The sequence below is a fragment of the Homo sapiens genome, chromosome 7 (assembly GCF_000001405.40).
Source record: "Homo sapiens chromosome 7, GRCh38.p14 Primary Assembly".
Classification (NCBI taxonomy): Eukaryota; Metazoa; Chordata; class Mammalia; order Primates; family Hominidae; genus Homo; species Homo sapiens.
This window is the reverse complement of record NC_000007.14, coordinates 2,878,589-2,891,968: the sequence shown is the minus strand read 5'-3', so window position 1 is coordinate 2,891,968 and position 13,380 is coordinate 2,878,589. Positions and strand designations below refer to the sequence as shown.

At 53.3% G+C, this 13,380-nt stretch overlaps 1 annotated feature.

Moving 5' to 3' along the window:
• Positions 4,698-4,757: a silencer, noted in NCBI's record as "silent region_17889". NCBI's record gives its function as "represses an Ori minimal core promoter by ATAC-STARR-seq in GM12878 lymphoblastoid cells {active_cell/tissue: GM12878}" and the evidence as "EXISTENCE:reporter gene assay evidence [ECO:0000049][PMID:35858748]".

The window sequence follows — 13,380 nt, the reverse complement described above, 5'->3', positions numbered from 1 at the left end:
CTCCCACCTGAGCGTCCCAAAGTGCTGGGATAACAGGTGAGAGCCATAGCACCTGATCCCCTGCTGCTGGAATTAAATGAGAACAATCTGCCGTGCTTACATGGCCTGGCCCCTTCCAGAACCTTCTTCCTCCTACTGGCTATATTCAGCCACACTGGCCCCCTGTTGGTCCCCAAAACTCTTTCTGTGCAAGGCCTTAGTGGCGGTGTTCCCTCTGCTGCCCCCTCCCGCTTCCCTCCCCCCCTCCCCTGGTATGGGGCTCAGGCCCGCCTCGGCCTCCGCATTTTCTCCCTTCTCAGCTGCTGCATGGTTTTCTTGGACTGACCGGACTACCTCCCCGTGAAAGATGTGCCCAAGTCTGCAGTGGCCGTGACTGTAGCCTTATCCGGAAATAGGGTCTTTACCAATGTAATCAGGTTAAGATGTCATACGGGATTAGGGTGTGTCCCCAAATCCAGTGATGGTGTCCACGTAAAGAGGAGGGAGGCGGGGCACGGTGGCTCACCCCTGTAATCCCAACACTTTGGGAGGCCGAAGCAGGAGGATAACTTGAGGCCAGGAGTTCAAGACCAGCCTGGGCAACATAGCAGGACCCCATCTCTACAAAAAAATACAAAAATTAGCTGGGCATGGTGGTGCACACCTGTGGTCCCAGCTACTCGGGAGGCTGAGGGAGGAGGATCACTTAAGCCCAGGAGCTGGAGGCTTCAGTGAGCTGTTATCACACCACTGCACTCCAACCTGGGCAATAGAGCAAGACCCTGTCTCAAAAAGAAAAAAAAAAAAGAGGAGGGAGATTTGGATACAGAGACACAGAGAAGGCCAGAAGGCTGAAGAGGGAGGTAGAGGCTAGAATGACGCAGCCATGGGCCAAGCAACTCCAGGAGCCGCCAGAGACTGGAAGAGGCAGGAAGGACCCTCCACAGAGCCTTTTTAGGGAAGGAGGTCCTGCAGACACCTTGACCTCGGACTCCTGGCTCCGAAACTGTGAGGGAGTACACTTCTGTTGTTTTAAGCCACCTGGTTTTCAGTGATTCCTTATAGCAGCCACAGGGAACTCCTACCAGAATTTAAATGTCAAAGAGCAGGGACCCTGTCTTCCTAGGCACTGCTATGCACATGCCTGGTACCCAGTTGGTGCCTAATAAGTGTTGTTGAAAGAATGGATGTGTTCTCAAAACTGCAAACCTATGTCCAGGCGTGAAGCGTTGTTCTTCTCCTCCTGGGTCTCAGTGCTGACCACCGCCGGCCGCTCCGTCCACCTCATCACTGGTGTCTGCCGGCAAGGTTGGCTTAGCTGCTCCCCTCTCCGTCAGAACCCGCTCCTGAATCTCCTGCATCCACAGAGCCTGGAGCGTGTAGGAAGTGCTTGATCAAGGAATGTTGCAGAGACAGGGTCCTGGATAGGCAGACAGTAAGGCCAGAAAGCCCAGCCCTGCCTCCACCATAGACAACAGGACCAAGGTCTGGTGTGGGGAAAAGCCCTGAGCAGCCGGGGCCCACCATGGACATGCTCTGGACAAAAGGCTGAGGGCTCCATGGCAGCGTCCCCTCCAGCCATCTCACAGGCAGCCCTGACCTTGAGAATGGCCAGATACAGGCTGCTCCAGAGCTCAAAGCAGTGAGGAACACAGACCCTGAAACAAAACTAGAGCCTGGGAGGTCTGGCCCAGAAGTCACCTCCAAAACGAGCCCATCTGGAGAAAGTATTTGCAAGCTATGCATCCGACAAAGGACTAACATCCAGGATCTATAAGGAACTTAAATCAACAAGAAAAAACAACAAGGCCAGGTGCGGTGGCTCACGCCTGTAATCCCAGCACTTGGGAGGCCGAGGTGGGCAGATTGCTTCAGACCAGGAGGAGTTCAAGACCAGCCCAGCCAACACAGCAAAACCCTATCTCTACTAAAAATTAGCCAGGCGTGGTGGCGGGCGCCTGTAATCCCAGCTACCTGGGAAGCTGAGGCAGGAGAATCATTTGAACCCAGAAGGTGGAGGTTGCAGTGAGCCAAGAGTGCACCACTGCACTCCAGCCTGGGCGACAGAGCAAGACTCTCTTGAAAAAAAAAAAAAAAACTCCATTAAAAAGTGAGCAAAGGAAATGAACAGACACTTCTCCAAAGAAAACGTACAAGCAGCGAAAAAACATGAGAAAACGCTCAACGTCACGAATCGTCAGAAAAATGCAAATCAAAACTGCCATGAGAGAGCATCTCACACTAGTCAGAATGGCCATTACTAAAAAGTCAAAATACAGATGCGGGCAAGGCTGCAGAGAAGAAGGAACGCTTACACACTGCCAGGGGAATGTAAATTAATTCAGCCCCTGTGGAAAACAGTTTGGGGATTTCTCAAGGAACCAAAAATAGATTGGCCAGGTGCGGTGGTTCACGCCTGTAATCCCAGCACTTTGGGAGGCCGAGGCCGGTGGTTCACCTGAGGTCAGGAGTTCGAGATCAGCCTGGTCAACATGGCAAAACCCCGTCTCTACTAAAAATACACACACACAAAATAATAATAATAATAATAGATCTACAATTCAATATAGCAGTCCCACTACTGGGTGTCTACCCAAGGGAAAATAAATCGTTCAATCGAAAAAAACACCTGCAGTGGTATGTTTATTGCAGCACTATTCACAATAGCTAAGACATGGAGTCAAACTAAGCATCCATCAATAGTGGACTGGATAAAGAAAATGTGGTGCATATACACCATGGAATACTATGCAGCCATCAAAACAAATGATATCGTGTCCTTTGCAGCAACATGGATGCAGCTGGAGGTCATTATCCTAAGTGAATTAATGCAAAAACAAAAAAGCAAATACTTCATGTTCTCACTTATACGTGGGAGCTAAACAGTGGGTACACACAGACGTAAAGATGGAAACAATACTGTAATCCCAGCACTTTGGGAGGCTGAGGCGGGAGGATCACAAGGTCAGGAGATTCAAACCATCCTGGCTAACATGGTGAAACCCTGTCTCTACTAAAAATACAAAAAATTAGCCGGGCATGGTGGAGGGCGCCTGTAGTCCCAGCTACTCGGGAGGCTGAGGCAGGAGAATGGCATGAACCCAGAAGGCGGAGGTTGCAGTGAGCCGAGATGGCGCCACTGCACTCCAGCCTGGACGACAGAGCGAGACTCCATCTCAAAAAAAATAAAAAAAAAAAAAAAGATGGAAACAATAGACACTGTGATTCCAAAGGTGGGAGGAAGCGAGTGGGGGAAGGGTTGAAAAACTACCTACAATTGGGTTCACTATTTGGGTGATGGGTTCAGTAGGAGCCCAAACCTCAGCATTACACAATATACCCAAGTCACAAACCTGGACGTGTGTGCCCTGAACCTAAAATTTTTTTTTCAGACGAGTCTTTCTGTCGCCCAGGCTGGAGTGCAATGGTGCAATCTCGGCTCACTGCAGCCTCCACCTTGCAGGTTTAAGCGATTCTTCTGTCTCAGCCTCCCAAGTAGCTGGGATTATAGGTGTGCATCATCACGCCCAGCTAATTTTTTGATTTTTAGTCGAGACGGGGTTTCTCTATTTAGGCCAGGCTGGTCTGGAACTCCTGACCCCAGGTGATCCACCTGCCTCAGCCTCCCAAAGTGCAATGATTACAGGCATGAGCCACTGCACCTGGCCTAAAATAATTGTTAAAAGTTAAAATTAAAAAGCCCATCTTTCCCTGTCCTTGGAGACCCCGACAGCATAAAATTACCAACTACACAGACACGCACATTTGCCATTGGCGGTGAATGAGAATGAGGGAAGCTACACTGCAAACAGGAGCCATCTGAAGGCAGCTGCTGCTGGTCCGGGCTCCCCATGCACAAGGGTTGGGGGTACAGGGTGGGGTCCCTTTGCTGCAGTTGTCCCTCCTGGGGCTGAGCAGCAGAACCCAAGCAGGGGAGGTGGCAGCAGCCCAGCCATGGCTGGGATCCCAGTGGGGCTCCTGGCCCAGCAGAAAGAGACCTTGGCAGGCCCAATTCCCTGCTGCAATTTGGGTCACCGTTGAAGAACAGAACAGCCAGCTAAGACCCAGGGGCATCGCCGTCAGAAATGTGATTTCTCACCCCCCACCCCTAGGCAGCTCCTAATGCTGCACAGAGAAGTTGGAAGAGGGGGTTGGAGGCCGGGCGCAGTGGCTCACACCTGTAATCCCTCGGCCTTGGGAGGCTGAGGTGGGCAAATCACTTGCGGTCAGGAGTTTGAGACCAGCCTAGCCAACATGGTGAAACCCTGTCTCTACTAAAAATACAAAGATCAGCTGGGCCCAGGGCGTGTGCCTATAATTATCTGGGCGTGGTGGTGCGTGCGTGCAGTCCCAGCTACTCGGGAGGCTGAGACACGAGAATCACTTGAACCCAGGAGATGGAGGTTGCAGTGAGCCAAGATGGTGCCACTGCACTCCAGCCTGGGTGACAGAGTGAGACTCTGTCTCAAAAAAAAAAAAAAAAGAAGAATGAGTTGGGACGGAGGTGAACACGACACCCACAAACCTACAGCAGGGACCAGCTCGGGGTCCGAATGTCGGGAAAAATCTCAGTGCGGCTTATTGATCTGGGTGGCAAAGCATCAAATATCTCGGTTAATCTGGCACCGCTCCGTTCATATTCTATTGTTGTTATCAGCCTCCAGGATTTACGGGTGTTGTCGACTTGAATTACCATCAACGGCTATATTTTTCGAGGGATTTTCTTTTCTTTTTCCTTCTTCCTTTTTTTTCCTCTGTGTGAGTGTGTGTCCGTCGGTTTCAGCCAATGAATTTCTGCTGGGAAGACTTCTAGCACCCCCTAGCTGTGGGAAGGACTCCACTGCGCTCTGTGTGTGCACGTGTGTGTTTGGCTCCGTGTGTGTGTGTGTGTGTGTGTGTGTGTGTGTATGTGGAGAGGTGTACACACATGTGTGCACACACATGTCTGTGCACGGTGGGGTGGGGGGGTGTCAGGTCCATGGTGGGGCACACGTGGGTACCGGACCCTCACTGTGGTCCCACGCACATGCACAGAGACCCCACCCCGACTGTCCTCTCCACCCTGGCCCCCCTGGTGGCCTTGTTCCCTGCAGGCTATGACTGCCAGATGTCCCCCAGCTGCACCCCACCCTCTTCACATCCCCCCAGACAGGCCCAAAGCCAGATGGGCAAACCCAGGCCCCTGGCAGACCCTCCCTCTCAGGCCCACTACCCCACTTTTCAGCCAGCGCAACAAGGAGGGGTGACCAGGACCCCCTTCCCCTCACCCAGAGTTCTGCCATCCTTGGTGACATAAGTCTCCCAGGATTAAGCCTTTCCCTGCTCTGCAGAGAAGGTGCCTCCCAGCTCCAGTCACCTCACAGGCCACAGCTTCGTGCCCCAGCCTGCTGGAGCAGGAAGGTATTGATTTCCTTTCTGCAAAAGAACATGGAGTCAAGGGGCAGGCCCCTTGCACATTCTTCCCTCCCGCCCCATGTGACCCGGAGCCCCTGAGACCTGGCACCACCCAGCAGGTCCCCAGGCCCTAAAAGCCATTCCAATAAATCCACGTGTCTTTATCCCTGAGCCAGGGCAGCCTTTGTGGAGAAGAAATGTATCTCCAGGGCACCCCCACCCACGGTCACTGAATTCCCCCGTGAGAGGGACTCCGGAGGGAGGATCCCAGGGTCTGAGCCCAGCTCCACCACTCACAACCATGTGCACGTGAGCAAGTGGCTCAGTCCCCTGGGCCGCAGGGTTTCCAACTATAAAATGGGCACAGATCTATGAAATTGAAAAACAATACTGCATATATTATTTATGGTTATGTACATATGCAATAACAGTATAAATTCCTGCAATGGAAAAATGGATAATCAACTGAGAAGGTGGCTCTTCTTCAGGAGACAGAGAAGGGGAGAGGGCTGGGTTGGAGCAAGTTGGGAGTGGGGCTTCAGTAACATCTATCATGGTCTGTTTCTTCACAAGATACCAAGAAAATACCTGCATATTGGGACCAGATAGGGCTAGAAGGCAGGTACCTGGCAGGTTCATTCTGCTACTCTGCAGTGTTCTGTATGTTTGAATTATTTTAAAAGAAGAAGATACAGCCAGGCACGGTGGCTCACGCCTGTAATCCCAGCACTTTGGGAGGCCAAGGCAGGTGGATCACCTGAGGTCAGGAGTTCCAGACCAGCCTGGGCAACATGGTGAGACCCCATCTCTACTAAAAATACAAAAATTAGGCGTGGTGGTGTGCACCTGTAATTCCAGCCACTCGGGAGGCTGAGGCAGGAGAATCGCTCCAGCCCAGAAGTTGGAGGTTGCAGTGAGCAGAGATTGAACCACTGCACTCCAGCCTGGGTGACAGAGTGAGACTCTGTCTCCAAAAAAAAGATACAAAGGTAAAATAAAGTGAGGATATCAAGCCCCCCTTCAGGACTGCAGGGAAGCTACTTGCAGGGCATTGAGCCCAGTGCCTGGTGCTTAGCCAGACCTTGTTCCATCCCATCCCCTGCCACCTGCTACCAGCACCCTACCTCATGGCACCTGCCCAGCCCTGACCCCCAGCCACAGTCCCCATCAAAACTCAGCTATCCTCCATTCCTTCCCCAAACCTCAGGAGAGCAACTTGATCAATTAATCCTCATAAGCAGGTTTGCTTGCACTTCAGGTTTGCACTTTTTTTTTTTTTTGAGATAGGGTCTCACTGTGTTGCCCAGGCTGCTCATGAACTCCTGGGCTCAAGCGATCCTTCTGCCTTGACCTCCCAAAGTGCTGGGATTACAAACCTTTTACGATAATATTATACAAATATAAAGTATGTATATCTGGCCAGGCACGGTAGCTCATGCCTGTAATCCCAGCACTTTGGGAGGCTGAGGCAGGCGGATCACGAGGTCAGGAAATTGAGACCATCCTGGTGAACACGGTGAAACCCTGCCTCTACTAAAAATACAAAAAAATTAGCCAGGCGTGGTGGCGGGCGCCTGTAGTCCCAGCTACTCGGGAGGCTGAGGCAGGAGAATGGCCTGAACCCCGGGGGGCGGAGCTTGCAGTGAGTGGACATCACGCCACTGCACTCCAGCCTGGGCAACAAAGCGAGACTCCGTCTCAAAAAAAAAAAAAAGTATGTATATCCATATATGCATCTATGTCATATATACATATTTATATCATAAATATTATAATAATATAAGATAGGGCTGGGCGCAGTGGCTCACACCCATAATCCCAGCACTTTGGGAGGCCGAGGTGGGAGGATCGCTTGAGCCCAGGAGTTCCAGACCAGCCTGTGAAACCCCATCTCTACAAAAATACAAAAAGATCAGTGAGGCATGTGGTGCATGCCTGTAGTCTCAGCTACTCAGGAGGCCGATGTGGGAGGATCGCTTGAGCCCAGGAGCAGGAGGCTGCTGTGAGTTATAATTGCACCAGTACACTCCAGCCTGGACCGTGGGGAGAGACCCTGTCTCTGGGGGGTAAAAAAAAAAGAGTATAAAATGTATTGGAGACATATTTATTTTTGTGTTATCGTCTATGTTTGGCAAGCACTGCTGGCTGCCCATAAATTATGGCTATAAAATTTCCTTTTATAATCCGTTTGTTTAAGGCGGGGTCAGGAATGGCACATTGGTGCCAGTTGGAACCCTTTGCATGCAGTCAGGGGTCCAGGTGGGCTGAGCCCGGCCTGTGCCTGCTCACTGGCCACACGCCCTGGTGCTGGGCCGGGCCACCCAGAGGATGGGGCATCTTTTTCTATGCACAAAGGCACCGCCTGCTCACTAAAATTCCTAAGGGTAGAATTTGACACCCAGCCTCCTTTCTGAGGACCCAGGAGCAAACTGCGTCTTCCACATCCTCCTCCTTCCAACTTCCCGACTCCCTTGCTGTGTGACCTCAACCGAGTGCCTGTCCTTTTCTGGGCCTGAGTAGTCTCTCCACCTGAAAATCGAAAGGTAGGAGCTAAAGATGTCTCCTGGGTTCCAAAGGCGCCCCCAGCACAGTCAGTGTGGAAGTCTCTCTTTCCCCCAGTCTCTCTCCTACACACACACACCCTGTGTCTAAACCGATGGCTTCACTTGACAGCTCCACCAGCAGAAAATAATTTCCACCAGCAGCCAATGGATTTATGCCTCACTCATCAGCCGCAGCCTGATCAACCTGTCCTAAGTCACTGAGGGAGGCAGCTGCCTTCCATCCCCCGCCACAGGCCCTGCCACGGTGCACACTGGCAGGGCTGGGAGCAGGACTGGCCCGAAAGCCCTGAGAGCCGTGGCCCCACACGTGGATTCTGGGGCTCATGGGTGCGTGTGGGTGGCACAATGGGGAGAGCACAGGGTAGGGAGGCATCCACAGGTCCTCAGGAGCCAGGACAACTCCCCACTTTACTAACGGGGGACCTGTGGCCTGCAAAGGAGACCAGGCATTCAGGGCCACAGAGGAAGCCACTACAGGGTCCAGATGCATGTCCAGGGGCCCTGCTGGGGCCACCACAGTGAGGAAGGCAGAGAACAAGCCCTAGATGTTGTTCCCAGGCTCCCAGGCAAGTCGGGGGAGGCCTGCAGCCCCCACCTGCCTGCCTCCTGAGCCCGTCTGTTCAGCCGCAAGGGAGGCCCTGGCCCTCCCAGCCCCTGTACCGGCAGGCGCAACCCTTGCACGGGAACCCTGTTCCCAGGATGCCCTCACGCCTGCCAGCCCCTCTGTGAGGCCCCTCCTCACTGGGCCGTAAGGAGACCACTGTTCTGCCGTGGCCACGGGGGTGGCGTCCTGATGGCCATCACCCCCCACCCCCAGCTGGCCGCCAGCACATTGAACCATGAGCTCGGAGCAGGGTCTGGAAAAGCGCCGCTGCAGAACCGCAGCTCCTGCAAACTTCCTGTCCCCCTTCAGATGCTCTGGGCGGAGGTGTGCTCCTCATCTCCAGTTTGCAGATGTAGAAACTGAGGCTCAGAGGCGGGAAGTGGTTTTCCAAGGCCAGGAAATGTGCAGGTGGGATTGGCAGCCAGGCCAGCCTGCCCCCGAGGTATGGCCCCTCCTCGACCACCCAGAGCAGGTGCACACAGACAGGAGGCAAAGGCCACACGGGTGCCCGTGGAGCCTCACCTGGCACTTGGCAAGGCCTCAAAAGCCCCATGCGATATATGGAAATCGGGTGCAGCGGGTTATCATGTGTCATCTGGGAACCTTGGAGAGGTGAAGGAGCTGGGGGCTCCCAACGAACCCCACAAATCATTACGCTCCCCCTCTCCCCAGGCTTCCCCCTGCAACCTGGCAGAGCTCCCAGTTCTCACAAGGAAGAGACGGGGACTCCCCTTCGCTGAGCCCTCTAGGGGCTTGCACCTAAGCAAGGCAGGAATTGCCAAACGGGGGCCGCACCCTGCCCAGAGCCCGCACTGGCAGGACCTCGAAACTTTGGGCTGGAGAAGCTCCCCGGGCGCCCATCTTTTTCTCCTGTAGGACTTGGCTGCAAGCTCCTCTTGCAGAAGGAGCCCCCATCCTGGGGCTGAGCCCACCTCTGCCCGGGCACACCCTTGTCCCCCACCTTGGGTTGGGATATAAATTAAAATTCAATTTCATTAAAGGCAGTGAGCAATCAGTCCCTGGCTGGGGCTAACAATGCCAGGCAGGGGGCCTTCGCTTCCTCTGGGCTGTAATTCACTCAGCCTCCCCCGCTCTTGTTCGCAAACTGCTAGAGCTGCACTTTCCCCCCAAATTTATGGCACTGGCAGCGTCTGGGGCCTGAGTTACAGCTGCAGGTTTGATCGGGGACTGCATTATTCTGCATCTAATCCTCACGCCTTGACAGCAAGGGCCGGTTGTTCTCCCAAGCCGGGCATTGTCCTCTGGTTGGCCAGGCTGGGGTGCAGAGGCCGGGTTCTGGGCCCATGCCCTGAGCCACCCACACCCAGGCGGGACATGGAAATCAGAGAACTCATCCCACATCTCGCACTCTCCCTCCTTTAATCCTATAAAGGAGGAAGGGCTAGAATCCATCTCACAGATCAGCAAACTGAGGCACGGAGTGGTCATCTCAGGACCCAGTGAGTGACTCTAACACTCTGCACCTAGAAATACTCCCCACAGGACACACCGATGGTGCCCATGGGTACCCCCTGCAGCGTGGCTTAAAATAGCCCAACATCAGAAAAAAAAAAAAAAAAAAAAAAAAAGGGGGCCTGGTGGCTCACGCCTGTAATCCCAACACTTTGGGAGGCCGAGATAGGCGGATCACCTGAGGTTAGAAGTTCGAGACCAGCCCGGCCAATATGGGGAAACCCTGTCCCTACTCAAAATACAAAAATTATCTGGGCGTGGTGGCGAGCCTCAGCTACCTATTTGGGAGGCTGAGGCAGGAGAATCGCTTGAATCTGGAAGGTGGAGTTTGCAATGAGCCAAGATCGCGCCACTGCACTCCAGCCTGGGCAACAGAGTAAAACTCCATCTCAAGAAAAAGAAAAAGAAAAGAAAAAAAGGACAAATGACCACCAATAGGCCACAGAGCAGCTGGATATGGGACCCAGGGAATTCTGGGCTGGTGAAAAACAGCAAAGCAGCCCCCATGGATCCCGACATGTTCAGGAGGCACTGGCGCGAGGAGGCAGCTGAGGGTAACAGTATGGGCGGTCCGCGTGGGAAGCTCAGATGGTAACTGCGCAGGCTGCGTGTGCACAGAAACGCCTGCAAATGTGGCATCCACGCTGTTACCTCTGGGAACCATAGGATTTTTTTTTCAAGATCTATATTTCTCCCCACTGCAGAGCAGCTGGCTGCATCTAGAAGTTTCTGCACCTCCGTCTGGGCATCAGATGTTTACCTCTGGTCTGCGGGTAGGAGGGTGGGCTGTCTGCCCGCCACTCCCAGCTTCATGCAGGATCTGACCTCCCACTGGCTGGGGCAGCCAGCCCGGACTCCCCAATCTCTGACCTCCTCGGCAGCCTTGTGGGAGGGGCTTCGGGGTGGAGAGGAGGGCAAGGCCAGGAGAAGCTGGGACTTGTCCCAAGTGCAGCCCCAAGGCAGCACCTCCCACCCTCTTTCAGAGATGCTTTGGATCCTGAGCTGTTTCTGGCTCCGGCTGGTGGGGCTGGGCCTCCACTGCTGCCCGCAGCCTCTGTGAAATGGGGCTGAACCAAGCATCTGCCCCCCCATAAGCATCAACAGAAGGCGGTTCCCTTCCATTTAGCATTTTTCTTTTTTGCGTGCTGGTATCGATTTTTGCCTCTTTTGTATCCCCGAGGGCTACAAGCAATTTTCAGACACCATCCCTGCCTCATGGGCTCGGAAGAGAAGCAGGATCAACGTGTGTGGGAGAGTCCGAGGGGGACCCAGGGCAGGCTTATGCCAGCCTGGGCAGAGGCCCAGCTGGAGAAACTGAGGGGCGGGGGCCACTTGGGGGAGGACCCTGGCCAGCCTCCTGCCTGGACGCATCTCACAGCCCCTTTCTCTCCATCATCGCCCTGCCCCCAATTCCAGGCCACCATCACCTCCCACTGGATACAGCCAGGGTCTCCTGTCCACTCTGGTTCCCTCTAACCCACTCTCCTCTCTGTTCCCAGAGGGGTCTTTCTATATGCAAATATGGACAGGAAATGTCCAGGGCTCCCTGCTGCCTTCTGGCAGAATCTGCCCTCTGTAGCCCGGTTTCCAACACTCTGCACAGTCTGGTCTCTGCTTCCCGTGCTGGCTTTACCACCTTATCCCTACACACACACACACACGAATGCATGCATGCACACATGTTCACACGTGTACATGTACAAATACACATGTGCTGCACACATGCATATGCCCACATGTATGCACACATTCACACAGAGACACACATACGCACACGCACATGCACGCAAACGTGCACTTGTGCAAATGCACTTGTCATGCACAGATACACACATGCACACTCACAGACACACATAGACATGCACAAGTAGACTTGTGTGCTGCACACAGGCATGCACACATGCACATGGCCACATATGTCCACATGCACACACACATTCACACACATGCACGTGCAAATGCACTCATGCACAGATACACTCATGCACGCACACACATGTTCATATACACATATGTGCTACACACAAGCATGAACACATGCACATACCACATATGCCCATAGGCACACACACATACATATGCACATGCAAATGCACTCAAGTCATGCACAGATACATGCACACTCACAGGCACACATAGACATGTACAATTAGACTTGTGTGCTGCACACAGGCATGCATACATGCACATGGTCACATATGTCCACATGCACATACACATTCACACACATGCGCGTGCACATGCAAATGCACTCCAGTCATGCACAGATACACACACGCACACTCACACATATGTTCATATACACATAAGTGCTGCACACAGGCATGAACACATGCACACACCACATATGCCCATATGCACAGACATACACACATGTGCATGTGCAAATGCACTCGAGTTATGCACAGATACACACATGCACTTTCACACACACGTGCATATACACATATGTGCTGCTCACAGGCATGCACACATGCACATGGTCACATATGTCCACATGCACACACACGTTCACACACACATGCACGTGCAAATGCACTCGAGTCAGGCACAGATACATGCACACTCCCATGACACACATATCCATGGACTACACACCTGTGCTTCACTCTGGCATGCACACAGCCACACATATACATGTGCAAACACACTCAAGTCACACGGATGCACACGTGCGTCCACACACACACACACATTCCAGTGACAATGAGCACTCTGCTACCCTGCTTCCCTGCCTCTGATGGGCCACCCCTCTCCCATGTCAGGCCAGTTCCTACTCCTTTCAAACTCAGCCATGGTAGCGTTTGCCCGTGCACATCTAACTAGGGGCCCCGCTCCCGGAAACACAGGCAGCTTACACTTCCTGCCCCTTTGAAGAGGCCAGCTGCAGCCTGTGTTGCTTCCCAGATCAAGGTGGAATTGGCCACGAGGGACCCTCTAGTGCTGGCTCCTCTTTCACAGACCGGTCCACATCAAGAGGGGGCACTAAAAAGCAATGGACCGGCCGGGTGCGGTGACTCATGCTTGTAATCCCAGCACTTCCGGAGGCCGAGGCGGGCAGATCACCTGAGGTCAGGAGTTCGAGACCAGCCTGGCCAACATGGTAAAACCCCATCTCTACTAAAAGTACAAAAATTAGCCAGGCATGGTAATGGGCGCCTGTAATCCCAGCTACTCAGGAGGCTGAGGCAGGAGAAGCTTAAACCTGGGAGATAGAGGTTGCAGTGAACCAAGATTGCACCATTGCACTCCAGCCTAGGTGACAAGAGTGAGACTCCGTCTCAACAAAAAAAAGAAAAAAAGAAAAAAAGGAAAAAAACGAAGGACAGCTGCCCCAGGGCATTGCAGGGACCCACAGCCAGGCTG